The sequence below is a fragment of the Homo sapiens genome, chromosome 3 (assembly GCF_000001405.40).
Source record: "Homo sapiens chromosome 3, GRCh38.p14 Primary Assembly".
Taxonomy (NCBI): Eukaryota; Metazoa; Chordata; class Mammalia; order Primates; family Hominidae; genus Homo; species Homo sapiens.
In genome coordinates, this window is record NC_000003.12 from 142,049,254 (window position 1) to 142,075,061 (window position 25,808).

The 25,808-nt window shown below is 39.3% G+C and overlaps 1 protein-coding gene across 19 annotated transcripts in view; it reads right to left on the reverse strand.

Moving 5' to 3' along the window:
* The window catches only part of TFDP2 (transcription factor Dp-2), a 205,117-nt gene that overhangs the window by 104,826 nt on the left and 74,483 nt on the right, over positions 1–25,808 (reverse strand). For 8 of the 19 annotated variants that reach the window (NM_001375778.1, NM_001178138.2, XM_047448785.1 and 5 more), the window contains exon 4: positions 4,862–4,896. The exons of the other annotated variants lie outside the window; for them this stretch is intronic. The gene's annotated coding sequence lies outside the window, so the exon portion shown is untranslated. The remainder of the gene's footprint in view (positions 1–4,861; positions 4,897–25,808) is intronic. 19 annotated transcript variants of the gene reach the window in all.

Sequence of the window (25,808 nt, forward strand, 5' to 3'; positions counted from 1 at the left end):
ATAAAAAGGATAACATATGCCTGAGTTTATCCCATGAATGGCAGAAGGTTGATTTAACATTGGAAAATCAATCAATATAATTCCCCATATCATCAGAATAAAAAAGAAGAACTACACTATCATCTTCAATAGATGCAGGTAAGGCATTTAACAAAATTCAACAATTATTCATGACAAAAACTCTCAGCAGACAAGGAATAGATGGGAACTTACTCAAAATGCTAAAAAGCAACTATAGAAAACCCATAGCTAAAAATCATACTTATGGTAAAAAAATTGAATGCTTTTCCCCTAAAATCAGGAACAAGACAATGATGTATACCTTTACTATTCTGACAATGAACTAGAGGGCTTAGCCAGTGTAATAAAGGAAATGAAAGGTATAAAATAAGAAAGGAATACGTAAAATTTGTTTGTACATAAACAAAATATTGGTCTATATGGAAAATCCTATAGAATCTATATAAATGGACTAGGAGTGAGTTTGGCAAGGTCACAGGCAACAAGGTCAATATACAAAAGCCAACTGTATTTCTATCTTCTGCCAACAAAACAAAATCAGATATTAAAAATTTTAAACATATTATTTACAATAGCATAAAATATTAAATATTTAGGGATAAATCTAACAAAATTGTACAAGAGTTATACAATGGAAACTGCAATAGATTGCTGAAACTATAGAAGACAAATTAATGGAGAGAAAAAACATGTTTATAAATCAGAAGATTCAGGCTGGGTGTGGTGGCTCACACCTGTAATCCCAGCACTTTGGAAGGCTGAGGCGGGCAGATCACAGGCCGAGGTCAGGAGTTCGAGCCTGGCCAACATGGTAAAACCCCATCTCTACTAAAAATACAAAAATTAGCTGGGCGTGGTGGCAAGCGTCTGTAATCCCAGCTACTCGGGAGGCTGAGGCAGAATCGCTTGAACCCAGGAGGCGGAGCTTGCAGTGAGCCAAGATCCAGCCACTGCACTCCAGCCTGGGTGACAGAGCAAGACTTCATCTCAAAAAAAAAAAAATAATAAAAAAAAAAGATCCTTTATGATAATGGTTCTTGTTTTCATCTTTACTCTTATCCCAGACACCTATCCTTCTGCGACACTGAATTGCTTTTAGTTCCCTGTTTTCTCTTCTAGCCTTTCTATATGCTCCCAGTGGCGGGACACGGTGGCTCACGCCTGTAATCCCAGCACTTTAGGAGGCCGAGGCAGGCGGATCACAAGGTCAGGAGATCGAGACCATCCTGGCTAACACGGTGAAACCCTGTCTCTACTAAAAACACAAAAAAATTAGCCGGGTGTGGTGGCACGTGCCTGTAGTCCCAGCTACTCGGGAGGCTGAGGCAGGGGAATGGTATGAACCTGGGAGGCAGAGCTTGCAGTGAGTCACGATCACGCCACTGCACTCCAGCCTGGGTGACAGACAGAGCGAGACTCTGTCTCAAAAAAATAAAAATAAAATAAATATATACTCCCAGCTACTTGGGAGGTTGAGGCAGGAGAACTGCTTGAATCTGAGAGGCAGAGGTTGCAATGAGCTGAAATCACTCCACTGCACTCCAGCCTGGGTGACAGAGTGAGACTCCATCTCAAAAAATCAATCAATCAATCAGGAGATTAAAAATTGTTAATATGTCAATTCTTCCCAAATTTATCTATAGATCAATGTAATCCTAATCAAATCTCAGCAGATATTTTTTGTAGAAATGTATAAGGTTGATTCTAAAATTTATATAAAATGCAAAGGACCTAGTATAGCTCAAACAACTTTGTAAAATAACAAAATCGAAAGATTACACTATCTGGTTTTAAGGCTTAGTATGCAGCTACAGCAGAGTTTCTCAACCTTGGCACTACTGACATTTTGGACCAGCTAATTTTTTGTTCTGGAAGACTCTCCTGCGCATTGCAGAATCTTTAGCACCATCCCTGGCCTCTACCTCTACCCAGGGGCAACCTTCCTGCCTACCCCCCAAGTTGTGACAATCAAAAATGTCTCCAGGCCTGGCGCGGTGGCTCAGGCCTGTAATCCAGCACTTTGGGAGGCCAAGATGGGTGGATTACTTGAGATCAGGTGTTTGAGACCAGCCTGGCCAATGTGGTGAAACCTCATCTCTACTAAAATTACAAAAATTGGCTGGGCGTGGTGGTGTGCACCTGTAATCCCAGCTACTCGGGAGGCTGAAGCGGGAGAATTGCTTGAGCCTGGGAGGCGGAGGTTGCACCACTGCACTTCAGCCTGGGAGACAGAGAGAGATTCCATCTCAAAAAAAAAAAAACCGTCTCCAGATATTGCCAAATGTCCCCTAGGGGCAAAATTGTCCTTCATTGAGAACCACTGAGCTACCAAGAGAGTACAGTATTGGCATGAAGATAAGACACGTACATCAATGGAACAGAACAGAATCTAGAAACAGATCCTCAATTACATAGTCAATTGATATTTGACAAAGGTACAAAGCAATTCTATGGGAAATGATAATCTTTTTTGACTGGTTGTTGCTGGAATGATTGGATATTCATATGATACAAAAATAAACCTTTCCTCTCATTCCATATATAAAAATTAACTCAAAATTTATCATAAGGCTGGACTTAGTGACTCATGTTTGTAATCCCAGCACTTTGGGAAGCTGAAGCGGGAGGATTGCTTGAGCCCAAGAGTTCGAGACCAGCCTAGCCAACATAGGGAGACCTCATCTCTACAAAAAATTTAAAAATTAGCTGGGTGTGGTTGCACATGTCTGTAGTCCCAGCTACCCGGGAGGCTGAGGTGGGAGGATAGCTTGAGCCCAGGAGGTCAAGGCTTCAGTGAGCTGTGACTGCACTACTGCACTCCGGCCAAGCAAGACTGTCTTGGAAAAACACAAAAAACAAAACTTACCATAGACTTAAATTTAAGAGCTAAAATTAGAAAACTTCTAGGAAAGTTCTAGGAAAATAAAGGAATATAGCAACGTAAAAACTTATAGGAAAATGTACGAGAAAACCTTAGTATTGGCCGTGCGCGGTGGCTCACGCCTATAATCCCAGCACTTTGGGAGGCCAAGGCGGGCAGATCACAAGGTCAGGAGATCATGACCATCCTGGCTAACACGGTGAAACCCTGCCTCTACTAAAAAAAAAAAATACAAAAAAATTAGCCGGGCGTGGTGGTGGGCGCCTGTAGTCCCAGCTACTCAGGAGGCTGAGGCAGGAGAATGGCGTGAACCCAGGAGACGGAGCTTGCAGTGAGTGGAGATCGAGCGGAGATCAGCCTGGGCGACTGAGCGAGACTCTGTCTCAAAGAAAAAAAAAAAGAAAACCTTAGTATTATTGGCTTAGGCAAAAATTTCTTTTCTTTCCTCTTTTTTTTCTGAGATGGGGTTTCACTATGTTGCTGAGGCTGGTCTCTAACTCCTGGGCTCAAGGGATTCTCCCACTTCCGCCTCCCAAAGTAGCTGGAACTACTAGGCTGGGTAGTCTCCCTCCCAAGGGTAGTCCACCCCTCCCAAGGGTAGTTCCGCCTCCCAAGTAGCTGGAACTACCCTGCCTGGCTTAGATTTCCCTTTTCTTTTTTTTCTTTTTTTTTGAGATGGAGTCTTGCTCTGTCGCCCAGGCTGGAGTGCAGTGGCATGAACTCAGCTCACTGCAAGCTTTGCCTCCTGGGTTCACGCCATTCTCCTGCCTCAGCCTCCCTAGTAGCTGGGACTACAGGCACCTGCCACTACGCCCGGCTATTTTTTGTATTTTTAGTAGAGATGGGGTTTCACCGTGTTAGCCAGGATGGTCTCGATCTCCTGGCCTCGTGATCCACTTGCCTCAGCCTCCCAAAGTGCTGGGATTACAGGCGTGAGCCACCGCGCCCAGCCCAGATTTCTTAAATAGGATACAAAGAACCACAAACTATCTTTTTTAATTGAAAAACTGCACATTAAGTGATATAGTTTAGATGTTTGTCCGCTCCAAATCTCATGCTGAAATGTAATCCTCAATGTTGGAGGTGGGGCCTGATGGGGGTGTTTGGGTCATGGGGGAGGATCCCTCATGAATGGCTTGGTGTCATCCCTATGGTAATGAGTAGTTCACATGAGATCTGGTTGTTTAAAACAGTATGGCACCTCCCTCCATCTCTCTTGCTCCCTCTCTTGCCACGTGACTTGCTGACTCTCCTTTGCCTTCTGCTATGACTGTAGACTTCCCAAGGCCCTCACCGGAAGTAGATGCTGGCACCATGCTTCCTGTACAGCCTGCAGAACCATGAGCCAAAATAAACTTCTTTTCTTTATAAATTATCCTGCCTCATGAGTCCTTTATAGCAACATAAACAGACTGATGTATCAAGATATAAAACATGTCTGCTCTTCAAAATCTCTTAACTTTAAAAAGTTAAGACTGAGAAAGTAGAACCTCATGAGCTTTCTAATCTGGATTTTAAGCAGGAGATATTGGAAAAGCCTTTAAAAAGTTAAGAGAAGAAAAAGACACATGACAGCCTGGGAGAAAATGTTTGCAAAATACACATGTGATAAAGGACTTGTAACATGAATAAGACAATAACAAGACAAACAACTCAATAAAAAATCTGCAAAAGATTTAAACACTTATGTAACCAAAGAAAATATGCTGATGGCAAATAAGCACATGAAAAGATTCGTAATATCATTAGTCATTAGGGAAATACAAATTAAAACCACACTGAGCACCAAACTCACTTGAATCACTAAAATAGAAAACAAAAAAAACTGACCATACCAAGTGCTGGCAAGGACACAGGGCACTAGAACTCTCATACACATTGCTGATGGGAATGCCAACTTGTACAAACACTTTGGGAAACATGTTTGGTAATTGCTTATAAAGTTAAATATACACTTACCATATGACCCAGCAATTCCACTTCTAGGTATTTACCTTAGAGAGATGAAAACTTATGTCAACACATAAGCTTGTATTTGAATGTTCACAGCAGTTTTATTAATAATGCTCCACAAGTGAAACAACAAAAATGTTCATCAACCCATGACTGGATATACAAATGGTGGTATATCATATAATAGAATACTATTCAGTAATAGAAAAGAACTACTGATTCACACAACATGAATGAATCTTGAAAACATTATGCTAAGTACAAGAATCCAGACACAAAATGAGATTAATAAAATATCAAAAAATATTCTATATGGCTAAAAATAATTATGACTTTAGTAGCTGGTTTTGCCTATATGAATCATTGACACTATGTTTTGTTATTTATGTATCAGTTCTCCTTAAATCAACTATAAACCCTCTGCTATAGGGGTTACCGTGTATCTCAGGTGGCACTTCATAATATTAACACCTCGTGTTTGTATATCAATGCACAGGTTTCATAATTCTCATCCACTGAAACAACTGGCATGTAGTATGCATATTGCAATGAAGTCAACATACCTAGGTTCAAATCCCAGCTGATTTGTGATTTGTCAACATACCTAGGTTCAAATCCCAGTCAACATACCTAGGTTCAAATCCCAGTGTGTGGTCTGCAGTAAGTCATTTTACCTTTATGAGATTCACTTTTCTTATTCATGAAACTAAAAAGCATGGATCAAGTGGGGAAAGACAGTGTTAGGGACATAAGAGATGGTACAATCAACAATTCTAATGCATGTAAGACTATTAAGGACAGAAACCTCCAGAGACGTGAAGGGCCAAAAGTTATACTTGAACCTGATTTTCAGAAGAGCCAAAGACTGAGAAAGAAGAACCTCATGAGCTTTCTGATCCAGATTTTAAGCAGATATTGGATATTGGAAAAGTCATCACAGAGATAACTAGTTTGTGGCAGACAACAATCATAAAAACATCCACTTTTGATCCTGCAATGCAGTCAGTCTCCTCCTATCACTGGGAATGGGATTCAACAAGCATTGAATTGTTCATCTACATATAAGAGAAATGAGCTATTTTAGATTATCATAAAACAGGTTAATTTTATTCTTCTGGTGTGTTGTGGCCATAGTAATCCATCTCAGTAAGAGATAAAACATAGGTTCAGATATTTGGTATATGTACTTGGATGAGAATCTACAATTGGTGGAATTATAAATGCCTATCAATCCAAAGACAGAATCACTCACGGGACATATGGTAGCCCCAGGAAGCTTCATTAGGGATTTGCTGTGTACCTACCATGTGCCAAAAACAGGCACTCTGCTAGGCAAGGTCACTTGTTTTATCATTTAATCCTCACAATAGCCCTTATGAAAGTGCATGATCACTCCCATTTTAGAGATAAGAAAATCGACATTTTGAAACATGACAAATTTGCCCAAGAAGTCACCTTTAGTATGTGACAAGGCTAACATTTAAACTCAGACCTATTTGATTCCATGTCCTTAAAACCTATTATCATTACATAAAGCCCAGCTTCCAATTATTGAAGCTAGTACAATCCTAGAAAATAGTAGGCTTTATCATTTTTTTTCCTGCTTCCAAGAGGAAACAGATATTATCTCCAGCTACCAGAGGGGAACCTGAAGCTTATATATAAAGTGATAACACAAGTTCTTGAATCTTGGAATTACTAGCCCTTTTGCTGCATTAGCATTCTACTGAGATTCATGATGACAATCAAGAAAAGGTGGAGGAGAAAAGTGCATGCAATTATAAGACCAAGTGTTTTCATTCTTGGAAAGCCCACATGCATTTATTAAGTACCTTTTTTTTTTTTTTTTTTTTTTTTTTTTTTGAGACAGAGTCTCGCTCTGTCGCCCAGGCTGGAGTGCAGTGGCATGATCTCGGCTCACTGCAACCTTCGCCTCCCAGGTTCAAGCGATTCTCCTGCCTCAGCCTTCTGAGTAGCTGGGATTACAGGTACGCGCCACCACATCCGGCTAATTTTTGTATTTTTAGTAGAGATGGGGTTTCACCATGTTGGTCAGGCTGGTCTCGAACTCCTAACCTCATGATCTGCCCACCTCGGCCTCCCAAAGTGCTGGGATTACAGGCATGAGCCACCATGCCTGGCTACTGAGTACCTATTATAGGTCAAGCACAGTGCTTGGCACTGGGGATATAACAGTGAATTAAAAAAAAAAAAAAAAAGACAGTTTATTCCCATGGAGAAGTTTCACCCTAGTGGGAAGATACTGGCAACTAAATAGACAATTAAAATATAGTGCGGTAAATATAGAAGCGGGATAGCACAGGGTATCACAGGTGCACAGAGAAGACAAACTAAACCCAGAAAGGCTGTCAGATAAAATATAAGATACCTAGTTAAATTTGAATTTTAGATGAACAATGAATAATTTTTTAGTAGAAGTATGTTCCAAATATTGTCCTCTACTTGCTATATCTGGCAACCCTTGGTGGGAGTGATGTTTAGAAAAAGCATCTCAGAATAAATGATACCTAAGACAAAAACCAAACTACTCTTACTTGTCCCCAACAAATCTGGACCCTGAAAAAGTATGTTATTTGCTGCCCTGTGGAGACAACCATGTGACAAGGATCTGAAGTCAACAGCAGTCAGCAAGGAACTGTAAGCTCTTGCCAATATCCATGTATGAATATGTGAGCCATCCTGGAAGGACATCTTCCAGCCCTAGTCCAGCCTGCAGATGACTACAGCCCTGGCCAATTGCTTGACTACAACCTCATGAGGGACCCTGAGGCAGAAATACCTACGTAAGCCACTCCCAGATTGCTGATCCTCAGAAACCATGTGAGATGAATGTTTGTTTTAAGCTGTTAAATTTTAGAGTAATTATTATGCAGTAATAGGAAGTAATGCCCTGCTGATTAGAGGAGAACTGTGTTTCTTATGAACAGGCCTACACTCATTCATTCACTGGCCATGTGGAGTCACCATCAGTGTGACCTCAGCAAGAATGAGGTGGTGGATCCAGAGGGACCACAGCTGGGACTGTCAGTCATTTGTGCCTCCCACCAGCAGGAGGTCTGAATGGCACACTTCCATGGCCACCATAAGATTACAAAAAGTGTATTAGCTATAGCATGTCCTTTCTGAAACAAAACAGTAAGAACCTTTTTAAAGACGAAATTTAAAAAAATACTTAAGTACAGCTTAATCACTTGAGAGAGTTGTGTGAAAATGAAAATACAAGCAAAATAATAAAGAAAATTAGCAGAGCTAAGACAACTCTAAAATCTTGGATTAGCTCTGGTTCTTAGCTCGATTTCATGTGTGCTAAGAATGATACTGCTCTGCCAACCAAGAAAATAATTTGTTCCTGGGTGGGTTGTTTTGTATCTCTTACTCAGAAAGGAATTTTTGAAATCTAAGGATAATGTGCAACTGGGAAGCTATGAACTGTGGTTAATCAACTAATCCAGAATTTCTACAAGTAGTCTGGTGAAACAATCTGAGTGCTATGAATTCCATAAATTATTTTATTCCAAAAGATAAGTTTAAGTAAAAGTGACTGCATTTCAAACTATATTAGGAGAAAAGAAAAACGTTAGAGAAAGACTTTATTTCCCTAATAATACAGAATGAGTTGAGAGGGAATGGTAATACCTATAGAATTATGTATGGCTACAGGGAGACGCTAGAAGTTTTCCTCTTTGACCACGGTGCCCGGATTCAGTTCCTTGGCTTTATAAAGTTCTCCATCCATACCATCACAGAGTTTCTGCTATTATGACATACTTTTCCCCAGGCCAGTTCAATACCAATCAAGCTTGGTATGTGTTTGTGTTAGAATCCTTTAAGGTCTATGGTCCAGATATACCAGATGTCACTTTTCTCCTTATGGCCTATAAAATAGTCACAATTATCTTACAAGATTCCACACTCAAATTTCACAGAAACGGAGATAAGGATATTGCCTTAAAGTGCTTACATCTCCACTGATTTATACAGCCTGATTTAACCCTTGTTTATTTATAAATTAGTATTTTATTCTATTTTTTAAATGTCCAAGTCATTTAAAAATTACCTTGATAACTAACCCTCGATATTAAAAGAGAGAAGCCAGTGATCATACACATAAAATCTACACCATCTTTGAATTTAAGTACCTAATAATGAACTGTTTTTACTCACAACACTTCTGACACCAAATGTTTGGGTTTTTTTTTTTTTTTTTAAATCACACCAACCAATTCTCCAATTCTTCAGACACCAATTAGGTGTCTAACAATTCAATACAATTTTGATAGTAACTACCTGGAGTTAGCCCAGACCTCACAGACTAAGAGGTCAGTCCCATAAGACTGCCTGCCACAGCTGCTAGCCACAGATGACATGCCCAGGCTACTCCCATTTCTGCCTACAGACTACAAATTTGAGGGTTCCCATGACCCCGCCTCAGATTTAATAATTTGCTAGAATGACACAGAACTCAGTATAGCACTTTACTTACTATTACTGGTTTGTTTAAAAGGCTACTACAACTCAGGAAGGCAACAGCCAAATCGAAGAGAAACGTAAGACAGGGCAATGGGGCAGGGGTAGGGGGTGGGTGCACAGAGCTTCCATGCCACCTCCAAGCACGCCACCCTCCCAGTACCTCACTGTGTCCACCAACCCAGAAGCTCTCCAAACTGTCATTTATGGGGTTTTATAGAGGTTTCCTTATGTAAGCATGATTGATTAAATCATGGCCATTGGTAATCATCTAAATCTCCAGGCCCTCTCTCCCTGCTGGAAGTCAGAGGTGGGGTTGAAAGTTTCAATCCTTGGTCTTTCTGGCACCAGCCCCCATCCTAAAGCTATCTAGGGGACCCCAGTCAACAATCTTCTCATTAGAGTACAAAAGACACTCATTACTTTGGAGATTCAAAGGGCTTTAGGAACTGTGTGCCAGAACTGGAGGCAATGAACAAAATTTATTTTTTATTATACACATTGATATTACAGAATAAAGCAACAGTTACTCAGCTATTTTTCTATGGTAATCAGTAGCAGTCATAGATATGCTTTGATCAATTCTATATAAATTGATACATGTATCAAACAAAGCCCTGAAGCTTCAGGCCTAAGCCTCATGCATTTGCTTGTGGCCATTCTACCACATATGGTTAAGATTTTCCAATGACTGTATCAATGTTTCCTAACAAGTGGGTTGTTTCATAGTGAGGTCTAAAGATCTGGAATAAAAAAAAATCAAGAAAAGCTTCACAAACTGGCCAGTAAAATAATCAATGACCAATGGTCAAAATAATATACGACCAATTTCTAAAGGATTAGCTGTCTTTTCTAATACCACACTATTACATTTTATAATTCAGAGTAGAAGAGAGTTGTGAAAAAAAAGCATTCAACAGAACTTTTTAACATCATCTAGGATAACAGATGCTATTGAGACATAGTGTCACCGTTCTCTCCAGCTTTCTTTCTTTTTTTTTGAGACAGAGTCTTGCTCTGTCACCCAGGGTGGAGTGCAATGGTGTAATCTCGGCTCACTGCAATCTCTGCCTCCCAGGTTCCAGCGATTCTCCTGCCTCAGCCTCCTGAGTAGCTGGGACTACCAGCGTCGGCCACCATGCCCAGCTAATTTTTTTGTCTTTTTAGTAGAGACGGGGTTTTGCCATGTTGGCCAGGCTGGTCTCAAACTCCTGATCTCAGGTGATCTGACTGCCTCGGCCTCCCAAAGTGCTGGGATTACAGGCTTGAGCAACTGTGTCCAGCCCCTCTCCAGCTTTCTTTCCTTCTATTTGGAACTTCTTTTATTTACCTCCTCTTAAAACACGTTTTTTCTAGTTCTCTTTGTTCATAAGTAATCCAATATATATTATAGAATTTATCTCATGGATACATCTTAAATAATATAAAGATAACATTAACTTTGCTTTTTATTTTAATGGGTACTTGAATAATTAGATTCTCCCAAAATAAGTACCACATAAAAAATCACTAAAATGTATACTTATTTTCCAGTCATTTTACAATTTTACTGTTCTCCTTTCTGACTGTCTATATGAGGTTATCTTGAGAGAAAGTTCCACTTTGAAAATTTTACTAACAGAAACTTTCCTGAACTCCTTGCCTCAAGTGATCCTTCCACTTCAGCCTCCCAAAGCATTAGGATTATAGGCGTGAGCCACTGTGCCCAGCATAACAGTAACTTTCTCATATCCATCTTAAGTACTCTTTTTAAAATTAAAGATCCAAAACTGGTGGGTAGGGGACAACAAATGGAAGCTCCCAACAAAACCTAAAAAGAGAAAAACCCAACAGTAGAATTTTTTCATTGTCTTATCCACTCAACAAATATACAGTGAGCTCCTGTGAGACAGGCACTATGCTAGGTACAAGTCCCATGTTGTCTCAATAGCCTGCCATTACAATATGATCTTAAAATGCCAATGAGGTTAGCAGCATTCTGTATTTATTTATTTAAATTATACTTAAATATATAAAAATGTGTGTGTGGAGGGGGGCAGTTTTTGGGTTGTTCTGTGCCTTCTACCTTGTTCTAAAAACTCAAGACAATAGCAAGAATGGAATAAATTCTGAGAACTACACATGGAGGGTTAGGAGTAAGGTATCAGTGGATAAAACAGAAAGAAAACCAAGATGTTAAGAATATTTCAAAGATTTTAAAGCTCTAAAAGTAACACAAACATCTGGGTAGTGCTTTACAAATATTATCTTACTTGAGTCTAGCAGTGTTCCTGATGACAACAGCCGACAGAGACTGGTTATCAACTTACTTATTTGTCTTTGGCAAAAAATTTCAACTCCGTCTACTGAACGATTTTTCATATGAGAACGTCTTTAATTTTTATAGCTGAAGCCAACAGGAAAATAACATTCAATCATAAAAGTATAATTCAACTCAAACTAAATCTCATTAGGTACCATATTACAGGACACTAACACTTGAGACTTTAAAAATTAAATGTATGCTATTTTTAAGTTTCATACATAACCTTGGATCAAGTTATAATATCCTTTGATATATTTTGTAAAATACTTCTTATAATTAAGTTCCTTGAAATAAAGTTAAAATATATCTGATACTGAGCTGCAAACTACAACAACGTTTTAGCATAATTTACAACCAAAAATATAGGAAAGGCTCTCAATTCATTAATCATCCAGGAAATACAAATTAAAGCTACCATATATTACCACTGCACACTTACCACACTAAGTATAAGAAAACAGATGAAAAATACTGTGATGGTTAACTTTTGTGTCAACTTGACTGAGCTAAAGGATGCCCAGATAGCTGATAAAACATTGTTTCTGGGTGGTCTATGAGATGTTTCTGGAAGAGACTAGCATTTGAATCAGTAGAGTGAATAAAGAAAATCACCCTCTCCAATGGAGAGGGGCATCATCCAACCTGTTGAGGGCCCAAAGAGAACAAAAAGGCAACAGAAGGGAGAATCTGCTTCTGTTTGAGCTGGACATTCATCTTTTCCTGCCTGTGAAATTGGCACACTGGTTCTGAGGCCTCTGGCCTAGAATTGGGACTTGTACCATCAGCCCCTCTAGTTCTCAGCCCTTCAGACTTGAGCTGGGACTTGTGCCACTGGCTCCCGTGATTCTCAGCCTTCAGACTCAGACTGAATGACATCACCAGCTTTCCTGGTTCTCCAGGTTGCAGACAGCAGGTCACAGGATTTCTTGACCTACATAACTGTATGAGCCAATCCCTATAATCAATCAATTTCTCTCTCTCTCTCTCTACACACACACACACACACACACACACACACACACACACACACACACACACACACAGAGCTGATATTTGAATAACAGGTTCAAACTGTACAGGTACACTTATACACAGATTTTCTTCTGCCTCTGCCACCCGAGACGGCAAAATCCACCCCTCCTCTTCCTACTCCTTCTCAGCCTACTCTTCATTAACATGACAAGGATGAAGACCTTTATGACAAACCACTTACACTTAATGAATGGTACACATATTTTCTCTCCCTTAAGATCTTCTTAATAACATTTTCCTTTCTCTGGCTTACTTTATTGTAAGAATACAGTACACAATCTATAACATACAAAATATGGGTTACTTAACTGTTCATGTTATCGGTAAGGCTTTTGGCCAACAGTGAGCTATCAGTAGTTAAAATTATACACAGATTTTTGACTGCACAGGGAGGTCAGTGCCCCAACCACTGCGTTGTTCAAGGGTCAGCTGTATATATACACATATATATATATTATATAATATATATGTGTGTGTGTGTGTGTGTGTGTGTGTATATATATAGTCATAAAAAACCAATAGGAGAGACAGCGGTTCTGATTCTTTGGAGAACCCTGACTAATGCACATTAGGTATTGGCAAGGATGTGGAGCAACAGAAATCCTCATCTGTTGCCAGTGGGAGTGTGAACTGGTATAACCACTTTGAGAAAAATCATCTGGGAGTATCGACTAAAACTGAACCCCAACCAAACAGTTCCAATCCTAGGTGTATGCCCTGTAGAAATACGTACATGTGTTCACCAAAGGACATGGACTAAAATATTTATGACATAACTAATCATAATATTCCCAAACTTAAAATTACCTACCCAAATGCCCAATAACATTAAAGTGAATAATGGTTTATTCACACAATGGAGTATTACATAGCAATGAGAAAGGATGAACTATGATTACTAAGCTTGATCTCACAACATCTTCTTAAGCAAGAGAAGCCAGTCACAAAAGAATAAATACTGTATGATTACATTTATATAAAGTACAAAAACAGGAGAAAATAATCTGTGCTTTTAGAAGTCATGATAGCAGTTATCCTTGAAATAGAGCACAAGGCATGCTTCTAGGGTGCTGGTTATATTCTGCTTCTAGATATGAGTGCTGGCTTATAAAACGTCACTGAGCTGTACACTAATATATGTGTGTAAATAAAACTTGAAATAATATGTAAATATAAAACATGAATATTTTAATTATAAAAGTAATATCCAGTCATGGATATGTTACAAATACAGAAGAGAATATATAGTAACAGTCAATCATAATCTCACATTCTAAAGATACTTTGTAAAAAGTAATTTGTTATATTTCCTCATTTTTCTCTATAAATAAATCTCACATAGTTAAGAACCTAAAATACAATTTCACTTAAATCTGAGCTCTTAAATTTTATTAAAATATGCTTACATAAAATAATTCTTGTATATCAAGCATTTTTAACTTTAAAATGCTTCTCTTCATAAGCAAAACTTAATGGCTACAAAATTAGCTATCATATACATACATACACAGTTTATTTAGTAATTGCAAAACTACAGACTTCAGTGTAGGAGCTACTTTTCTGCTCTTTATAATAAACATCTATGATAAACATCTCTGTCTGTGTCTACATTAATCAATTGTTGAAAGTTATTTCCTTAGGATAGCTACCTAGAGGTGGAATTGCCAGAAATAATGTTTGCACATTAAAATTGGTAAAGGGTAAAATATTACCTAGCATAAAAACAGAGGGTTGAAAAAGCAACAAAATGAATAACTTTATTTCTTTCTTTACTAGTCTTTTATTTTAGACAGTGCTCCTTAGTTGGTGAAGCCTCTCAATAAAGCAAAAGATCCACTGTCGAAAAGTCTAAGACATGTAAAGCTTGATGACATCGTAGTATTAGACACATAGCAGGTACTTAAAAAAAAAAATTTCTGAATTGAATGAAAACCTTAGGCAGGAAAATCAGGCTGATCCTACTTGTTGCTCATTCTCCACTTTCATATACCCTACCATATACCAGTAGTTTTTTGGTTTTTAGTTTTTTTCTTGTTTTGAGACAGAGTCTTACTCTGTCGCCCAGGCTGGAGTGCAGTGGTGCAATCTTGGGTCACTGCAACCTTTGCCTCCTGGGTTCAAATGATTCTTGTGCCTCAGCTATCCAAGTAGCTGGGACTACAGGCCTGTGCCACCACATCCAGGTAATTTTTGTGTTTTTATAGACATGGGTTTTACCATGTTGGCCAGGCTGGTCTCGAACTCCTGGGCTCAAGCGATCTGTCCACCTCGGCCTCCCAAATGCTGAGATGACCGTGCCTGGCCAACAGTAGTGCTTAAAGTATGGTCCAGTGCTAGTAAACATCAGCTTCTCCTGAGAACTTGTTAGCGATACCAATTTTCAGGTCCCACCCCAGACCTACTGTATCAGAACTCTGGAGGTGATGCCTGGTAATCTTTATAACATGCCCTCTAGGTGACTCTCATGCTTGATAAAATTCGAGAACTACTGACTTAAAGTATTCCCAACCTCCAAGCATACTAAGAAAATATCACCTTTATTAATCAGGGAGTAGAAAAAAGATGAATCACTTTTTCAAATTATTACTCAAGTGCCTACTTTGTTCATTTGGGAGACTGAGGACCTTATTGATAAATAATGTTTTCATCTTCTCTAATTCCTTTAGATTTGCGATTTACATGTCTGCAGTGTCAGTCATGCTGCTTTTCATATGTAAATGGGTCCCAAATGGACTCACTAAAGGATGTAAAGAATACACAAGTGTCACTGGATGTTATCCAATGTAAAACAACGTCACTGAAAAAAGGGATAATAAGAGTTTCCAATACGCAATCAAAGAAACAGAGCAAAGTTGTATAATTCTACCTAATCACAACAATATATGTTGCAAAAGTAGTTAACAGGAAGATAAAAGATGTGGTAACCTTAGTCTCTTTAAAAACACTTTAATATTTTCCTTTATTTTTTGTTTTAAATCAGGAACTCCTCTGATTTTCATTTTTAAAAGGTAGTTCTTATTGAATTGTAGTATCTAATTATTTAATATGGTAACAAACCACTATTAATTTAAATAAAATGTATCTGAAGATAAACAGGAAAAATACAAACAAGAAAAAGGATCAGATGGTAAAGGTTTTTCAGGTAAAGCAACTCGCTGGGATGAACTGGTCAATAAATAAAATTATTTGCAGAATGGAATTCTGTTTTCAGATCATTAAGATTTTTTTTTTTTTGAGACAGGGTCTCACTCTTTCACCCAGGCTAGAGTGCAATGGTGTGATCTCAGCTCACTGCAACCTCTGCCTCCCAGGCTCAAGCAATCATCCCAGTTCAGCCACACAAGGAGCAAGGAGCTGGGACTGCACAGGCACAGGCCACCATGCCTGGTTAATTTTTGTACTTTTTGTAGAAATGGGGTTTTGTGTTGCCCAGGCTGGTCTCAAAGTCCTGAGCTCCAGTGATCTACCCTCCTCGGCCTCCCAAAGTGCTGGAATTACAGGCGTGTAATTTTAGTTATCCTAAACCAAAAAAAGAGGAAAGCTAGAACCATTCACTCTGTGTGTGTGTGTGTGTGGGTGTGTGTGTGTGTGTGTTTGAGACAGAGTCTCACGCTGTCGCCTAGGCTGGAGCAGGGTGGCGCAATCTCGGCTCACTGCAACCTCTGCCTCCCAGGTTCAAGTGATGCTCCCACCTCAGCCTCCTGAGTAGCTGGGACTATAGGTGCACACCCCCATACCTGGCTAATTTTTGTATTTTTTAGTAAAGAGGAGGTTTCGCCATGTTGGCCAGGCTGGTCTCAAACTCCTGACCTCAAGTGATCTGCCTGCCTCGGCCTCTCAAAGCGCTGGGATTTGGACACCTGCCAAAGAATTTTTATTGAAATAGCAACCAAATATTGCTTATACCTATTACTCAAAATAATACAAAATAAAACAGGCTTACTAGATATTTTGGGGCTTAAATTTGTGAAGTAAAATCCAAAAAAGTAATGCAGGTAAAAGTTAGCAGCTTAAGTAAACATGAAACTCTAAAACATATAAGCTACTGAATTTTTAAGATTTTAAACACTGAAGTAATTTCTAATACCAATTCTCTACTCTTTTCCCTTTCCAACTCCCTTTAAACTTTATCTTACTCTCATCAAGAAAAGCACAGTTCTCACATTTGCATCTCACCAGAAATGCATTATTATGGTCCCTACAGGGAGCCATTCCAGCAACTCTCTCAGTAGAACTCTGAATTCCTTTTGCTCCTAATGCTTTGCCCACAATATGCTTCTTTTATTCCTGTTTCCAGGCTGTGAAGATTTGTTCAAAAATGTTATAAAACCTGAAACAATTGGTGCCACTATAAATGTATGTATAGATGCTATGAAGGTAAGTATGATGCGGTTACATCCTGATAAACCCATTGTAAGATGAAAATATTGTAAGTTGGAAATTCATTTAATGCACCTAACCTATCAAACATTATAGGTTAGCTCAGCCTACCTTAAGGTGCTCAGAATACTTACATTAGCCTACAATTAGGCAAAGTCATCTACCACAAAGCCTATTTTATAATAAAGTGTTGAATAACTCATGTAATTTATTGAATACTGTACTGAAAGTGAAAAACAGAACAGTGGTATGGGTACTCGAAAGTATGGTTTCTACTGAATGTGTGTCACTTTCGCACCATCATAAAGTCAAAAATTTTTAAGTCAAACCATCGTTAAGTTGGGGATCATCTATCTTCTGGGGACTCTAACTTCAGCTGGTTCCTTGCTGTGACCCAGGGGACCCCAGACTCATCTCTAAGACTATAAAGGACTAAAAATAATACAAAACAGGATCTAATCACCAATACTCTCCAAATGGAGAATTTGTGTACTTCTCTCATAACTGAGGTTTATCCAGGAAATCCAAGGCTGATTTGACATATAAAAATCAATCAATGTAATAATATACCATATTAACAGTACTCCACCATGTAATCATTGCAACAGGGGCAGAAAAAACATTTAACAAAATCCAAAAACCATTCATGTATAAAATTCCCAGAAAACCAAGAACAGAAGGAAAACTTACTCAACCTGATAAAGGGCAGCTATAAAAAAAATCTACAGCTAAAATAATACCTAAAAATAAAAGACTTAACACTTTCCTCCTAATATGGGGAACAAGGCAAGGATTTCTGCTGCCACCATTTTTATCAAACCTTGTGCTGAAAGTCCTAACCAGTGAAATTAGAAAGCAATTATATATCTATATGTTAGCAAAGAAGAACTAGAAACTGAAAATTAAAATACCTCTTACAATCAAAAACTCTCCTGCAACTGATAAGCAATGACAGCAAGGTTACAGAATATGAAGTTTAACATACAATTAATTGCCTTCTTATATGCCAGCAATAAACAATTAATATTTGAAATTAAAAACACAAGACCATTTACATTAGCACCAAAAATGAAATACTTAGGTATAAATCCAATAAATATATATATATATATAAGATCTCTGGGGGAAAACCATAAAACTCTGATAAAAGAAATCAAAGAAGACCTAATTAATGTAGAGCTATTCCATGCTCATGAATAGGAAGAATCAATATTATTAAGATTTCAGTTATTCTCAACTTGATGTACAGATTCATTGCAATCTCAATAAAAATCCTGCAAGTTACTTTGTAGTTATCAAAAAACTGATTCTAAAATTTATATGACAAGGTAAAAGACTCAGAAGAGCCAACACAATAGTAAAGAAAAGCTGGAGGACTAACATTATCCAACTTTAAGACTGACTGTAGGTCGGGCATGGTAGCTCATGCCTGTAATCTCAGCACTGACTCAGACCAAGGCAGGAAGATAGCTTGAGCCTAGGAGTTCAAGACCAGCCTAGGCAACAAAGTGAGACCCTGTCTCTACAAACAAATTTAAAAATTAGCTGGCCATGGTGGCACGTGCCTATAGTTCCAGGTACTTGGGAAGCTGAGGTGAGGAGATTACCTGAGCCCAGGAGGTCAAGGCAGCAGCAAGCTGTAATTGTGCCACTGCACTCCATCTTGAGTGACAGAGTAAGACTCTAGCTTAAAAAAAAAAAAAAAAAAGACTGTAACTATAAAGCCACAATAATCAAGATAGTGTGGCACTGGCAAAAGAACGGCAAAATAGATCAACAAAACAGGACAGACAGCCCTGAAACAGAACAATAAAAATATGGTCAACTAATCTCTCACAAATGGGCAAAGGCAATTTAATGGAGAAAAGAGAGTCTTTTCAATAAATGAGGCCAAATGAACTGGATATCTACATGTAAAGAAATGAATCTAGACACAGATTCTTTATACCTGTCATAAAAATCCAAAATGGATTCTAGACTTAAAACATAAAATACAAAACTATAAAACTCCTAGAAGACAATAAAAAAGAAAATCTATGTGACCTTGGTTTTGGCAATTACATTTTAGATACAACAGCAAAAGCATGATCCATGAAAGAAAAATTCATGTTGAACTTCATTAAAATTAAAAATTTCTCCTCTGTGAAAGACACTGTTTTTCCACTACCAGATAACCAATGTCAACAGTTTCTGTGTATCCTTACAAGAAACATTATATGTTTTCAAGTTTGTATGTTGTGTCATTATTTCTCACTTTTTTTTTTTTTTAGAAAGGGTCTCACTCTGTCACCCTGGCTGGCTGGAGTGCAGTGGCACAATCTCAGCTCATTGCAACCCTTGCCTCCTGGGCTCAAGCAATCCTCCCACCTCAGCCTCCTGAGTAGCTGGGACTACAGGTACACACCACCACCCCCAGCTAATTTTTCGTAGAGACAGGGTTTCACCATGTTGCCCAGGCTGGTCTCAAATTCCTGGACTCAATGGATCTGCCCGCCTCAGCCTACAAAAGTGCTAGGATTATCAGTGTGAGCCACCACGCCAGGCCTGTTCCTCACTTCTTTAAACTAATAGTTATATACCCAGATCACTGTTTTGCACTTTTCTTTCCTTTTTCTTGTTTGAGACAGAGTCTTGCTCTGTCACCCAGGCTAAAGTGCAGTGGCGCAATGTCGGCTCAATGCAACCTCCGTCTCCTTGGTTCAACTGATTCTCCTGCCTCAGTCTCCTGAGTAGCTGGGATTACAGGCGCACACCACCATGCCTGGCTAATTTTTGTATTTTTAGTAGAGACGAGGTTTCATCATGTTGGCCAGGCTGGTCTCGAACTCCTGACCTCGTGATCCACCCGACTTGACCTCCGAAAGTGCTGGGATTACAGGAGTGAGACACCGCGCGCGGTTTCTTTTGTTAATTCAATGTGTCTTCTAGATCATTCTATATTTGTACATAGCCTTTCTCATTCCCAATTTTACATCTGCATAGCATTCCATTATATGTACTGAACACAATTTATTTAACTACATCCTAGTGATGGATTTACATTGTTTCCAATACTTTACTATTACATATTATACTGTAAAGATTAACTTTTATTTCCTAAATTTGTGAGCTTAGCAATAAAATAAATTCCTAGAATTGAGACTGCTAAGTCATAAGATATGTTAATGTTAAATTAATAAATATTGCAAATTCCCTCTCATAAAGGCTGTACTAATTTATGTTCCCACCAGTAGTATAGGAAAGCATGTTACCTTACACCCTTGACAAGAGTGTTTTTGTCAAACATTTTTCCTTTCCTTTTTTTTTTTTTGAGACGGAGTTTCGCTCTTGTTGCCCAGGCTGGAAGTGCAATGGTGCTATCTCAACTCACTGCAACCTCTGCCTCCCAGGTTCAAGTGATTCTCCTGCCTCAGCCTCCTGAGTAGCTGGGATTACAGGCATCCACCACCATGCCTGGCTAATTTTTTGTATTTTTAGTAGAGACGGGGTTTCACCATGTTGGCCAGGCTTGTCTTGAACTCCTTACCTCAGGTGATCCGCCCACCTCAGCCTCTCAAAGTTCTGGGATTACAGGCTTGAGCCACCACGCCTGGCCTTTTTTCTTTTTTTTGAGATGGAGTCTTGCTCTGTTGCCCAGGCTGCAGTGCAGTGGCGTGATCTCGGCTCACTGCAACCTCCGTTTCCCAAATTTAAGCTATTCTCCTGCCTCAGCCTCCTGAGTAGCTGGGACTACAGGCATGTGCCACCACGCCCAGCTAATTTTTTGTATTTTTAGTAGAGACAGGGTTTCGCCATGTTGGCCAGGCTGGTCTCAAACTCCTGGCCTCAAGTAATCTGCCCATCTCGGCCTCCCAAAGTGCTGGGATTATAGGCGTGAGCCACCGCACCTGGCCCAAACTTCTTTTTTTCAATCCTGCACAAACTTCTTAATACTCACCAATCTTATAGAGTGAAATACGATACATCAGTGTTTTTATTTTTTTGAGACAGGGTCACCCAGGCTGGAGTACAAGTACAATGGCACGAACACAGCTGGCTCACTGCAGCCTAAACCCCTGGGCTCAAGCAATCCTCCTGCCTCAGCCTCCCAAACAGCTGGGACTACAGATGCATGCCACCAAGCCTGGCTAATTTTATTTTTATCTTTTGTAGAGGCAATGCCTCCCTGTGCTGCCCAAGCTGGTCTTGAACTTTGGGCTCAAACAGTTCTCCAGCCTTGGCTTCATTAAGTGCTGGGACTACAGGCATGAGCCACTATGCCCAGCCCTCAGTGTAATTTTAAAGTACATATGCCTTATGAATGAGGTTGAGTACCGTTACATATGTGTAAGAACTGTTAATATTTCCATTTCTGTGAACTTTCTTTTCATAAGTTTTGTCCATTTTTTGAAAATTGGACTGTTGTTTTGATTATTTATCATTATATAATATTCCTCTTTGTCCCTTTAATGCCTTGAGGTTTGAAGTATGTTTTATTTTATTTAGTATCAATATTATATTCTTGCTCCTGGTACATCATTGGCCATTTCCATTATTTTTAATCTTCTTTCCATTTAGGAGTTTTAAATATTTTTATTTGAGAGGCTTACAGGCCAGTGGAAATAAGACCTAAGCTTAGATGCAAGGGATGAACAGGAATTAGCTAGGTGATATGTATAAATATAGCAGGAGTGGCATGAAAGATGGTGTCAAGGAAGCATAAAATTCCAGACCCAGAGAGGAGCATATAGAAAGGCTAAATAAGACAGAGAAAAGAGAACAGGGAACTAAAAGCAGTTCAGTGTGGCAGAAGGATAGGTGTCTGGGATAAGAGTACAGATGAAAACAAGAACCATTATCTTAAAGGAGTTTTTTTTTTTTTGAGATGGAGTCTTGCTCTGTCACCCAGGCTGAAGTGCAGTGGCTGAATCTTGGCTTACTGCAAGCTCTGCCTCCTGGGTTCAAGCGATTCTCCTGCCTCAGCCCCCCTAGTAGCTGGGATTACAGGCGCACACCACCGCACCGGGCTGATTATTTATATTTTTAGTAGAGATGGGGTTTCACCATGTTGGCCAGGCTGGTCTCGAACTCCTGACCTCAACTGATCCAACTGCATTGGTCTCTCAAAGTGCAAGGAATACACGCGTGAGCCACCGCACCCGGCCATAAAGGATCATTTAAATTGTAGTTTGGACTTTATCTTGAGGGCAATAAGGAACTATTAAAATGTTTTACAACATGAAAAGATTTGTGCAGATCTGTGTTTGAGAAAAAGTATGCAGCTACAGTACAGAGAATGAAACAGAAAATCAGCTGCAGTAATCCAGGAAATGGTTTATAGTAGTCTGACCTATTACAGCAGCAGTGAAGGCAGAGAAAATGGGTGAGGAAGGCTCAGAGAGTTAGGTGGAATCAAAAAGCCTTGTAAGTGATTTGACTGGGAGTAGACAGAAAGAGAAAGGAATTAAAGATGACACCTCTGTTTCTGGCTGGGATAAAGGGCAGGTGAAGGGGGACAGCAGATTTTGGGAGGGTAAAATAATTACTTTAATTCTGGACAGACTGAGTCTGAGGTGCATTAAAGTTATTCAAATGAAGGTACCCAATAGGCTGTCGGATATACAAAATCTTAAGACAAGTATTTGGGCCACAGGTATAGATTTCGGAATCATACATATACATAACAGATGACAACTAAAGCTATAAGAATAGGTGAAATCACCTGGGGAGAATACACAAGGTGAGAAGAAAACCTAAGACCATGGAACACTATAGCATTTAGAAGACAAAGGAAATCTAATAGAGTAGACTGTCAGGGAACAGCCAAAAAGGAAGGTGAAAATATTATAAACAAGAGAAAAAAGCAAGCACAGAATGAATGCTTACTATGTGCTACGCATAACTTACTATGTGCAGTTGCTCATTTAATCTTTACACATTCTATGAGCAACCTACTATTATAATATGTATCATTACAGATGTGGACACTGTAGTTTAGAAAGATCAACTTGCTCAAGATCACACATTTGGCTGGGTGTAAGAAATGGAACCAAGATTACATTTTAGTCCTCCAGAGCTCTTGTTCTTAACTACTACACTATACTACCTTCTATGAAAGACTAAGAAAATGTAGTATCACAGACACAAAGGATAAAACAGTGATTCAAAAAGAAAGGCACCACTCCAGTAGCAATGAGCTCATTTAGCACTGAGATACTGGTTTCTAATAACATTCTCCAAGACAAGGAATCCATACTCTGGAAAAATGACTGATCTGAGGACCGGGCAGGAAATACACAAGATGAGTCTGGGGGATCTTGCAGTGCCAACAAGTAAGGAAGTATCAAAAACAAACACAATGACTAGGATGTGTCCAAGGGACACGGAAACCAACTGAAAGAGCTTCCAATGGCCATATCTGGAAATGTGAGCAAGAAAATAAAAGTAGTATTGGATTATAACCCAGAGTATAAACTAAATATCCATGAGTCCATACTAATCTAAATAAATGATTGAATCAATAGAGGAGAAGGGACAAATCTAGAGCACCAAAGAGTTCTAATTGGTGTAAATGTTAATTTAACTTATGTAGAAACTCCCCTCAAGGAGGGAGAGCATAACTCCCTGCTCCTCAAGTGTGCAATCCACACAATGACTTCCTTCCAAAGCCTATGATGCAGAAAAGGAGAGGGGTAAAGACTAACTTTACTGTGGAGAAACCTGACAAAAGCGACATCGGCCAGCTGATCAAGGTTCACATCAACAGTGATAAGTCATGTTGATAGTATGTGCCTTAATATGCTGTGATGAAAATGTCACCCAGGCTGGAGTGCAGTGGCAAAATCACAGCTCCTGTGGCCTCAAACTCCTGGGCTCAAGTGATCCTCCCGCCTCAGCCTCCTGAGTAGCTAGGAGTACAGGTATGTGCCACCATGCCCAGTTAATTTTTAAAAATGTTTTTGTAGAGGCAGGGTCTCACCATATTGCCCAATCTGAGTTTTGTACGCTACTGATAGTAGGAGAAACTGAGTGAAGGGTATAAAGTAACTCTGTACTATCTTCAAAATTTTTCTGTAAGCCTAAAGCTGTTCTAAAATGAAAAGGTTATTAAGAAAAACAAAAGAAAGATATCAACTGTGTTAAATGCTTAAAAACAAACAAACAACCCCCCCCCCCCCGCAAAAAAAAAAAATAAAAAAGACAAAGACTAAGGGCAGTTTCATATAATTAATGGAAACAAAAGCCAGATTATATTGGACAGAGGAGTGAATGAGAGGTGACAATGGCACTGAAAGCGTATGCCCTCTTCCAAAAAGTCTGATTATAAGAGGAAGAACAAATCACAGCTGGAAGTAGACGTCAAGTTGAAGAAAGTGTTTTTGCTTTTGTCTTGTTAAATCAAGGTATAATTCACTTGCAAACAATTCACTTTTGAAAGTAGGTTTTAGTATATTTACAAAATCATAAAACCATCACCTCTATTTAATTCCAGAACATTATCATCACTGCAAATGAAATGGTGAATTAAAGACTAGATAAATGTTCCATTTGAATGGAGCATTAAGATCAATAAAACCAAAGCAATCTAGAGATTCAATGCAATCTCCATCAAAATGTTAAGTGTCTTTTTTCAGAGAAATAGAAAAGCTGATCCCCAAACTCACATGGAATTCCAAGAGCCCTAAATAGCAAAACAATCATGACGAAGAATAAAGTTGGAAAACTCACACTTCCCAATTTTGAAACTTACCAAAACTACAGTAATAAAAACATTATGATACAGACATATGGACAGACACAGGCTGATGGAATAAAATCAAGAAATCAGAAATAGGCCAGGTGCAGTGGCTCACGCCTGTAATCCCAGCACTTTGGGAGGCCGAGGGCGGGTGGATCACCTGAGGTCAGGAGTTCGAGACCAGACTGGCCAACATGGTAAAACCCTGTCTCTACTGAAAATACAAAAACTAGCCAGGCATGGTGGCACACACCTGTAAACCCATCTACTCAGGAGGCTGAGGCAGGAGAATCACTTGAACCCAGGAAGTGGAGGTTGAAGTGAGTTGAGATTATACCACTGCACTCCAGCCTGGGCAACAGAGTGAGATTCTATCTCAAAAAAAAAGAACTCAGAAATATGCTGGGTGCAGTGGCTCACACCTGCAATCCCAACACTTTGGGAGACCAAGGCGGGAGAATTGCTTGAGGCTGGAAGTGCGAGACCAACCTGGGCAATAGAGCAAGACCCCATCTCTAAATATATAAATTAAAAAAACAGGCCAGGTATGGTGGCTCACACCTGTAATCCCAGCACCTTGGGAGGCCGAGGCAGGTGGATCACCTGAGGCCAGGAGATTGAGACCAGCCTGAACAACATGGTGAAACCTGGACTCTACTAAAAATACAAAAATTAGCCAGGCATGGTGGCGGGTGCCTGCAATCCCGGCTACTCGGGAGGCTGAGGCATGAGAATCACTTGAACCCGGGAGGCAGAGGTTGCAGTGAGCCGAGATTGTGCTACTGCATTCCAGCGTGGGCGACAGAGTGAGACTTTGTCTCAAAAAAATAAAATAAAATAACAATTAATGAATGAATGAATTTAAAAAGTCAAAAATAAAGTATCACAAATACAATCCACTGATTTTCGACAAGGGTGCCAAGACCATTTAATGAGGAAAGGACAGTCTTTTCAACTAATGCTACTAGAAAAACTAGATATCCACATGCAAAATAATGTTGGATTCTCACGTTACACCATTAAAAAAATCA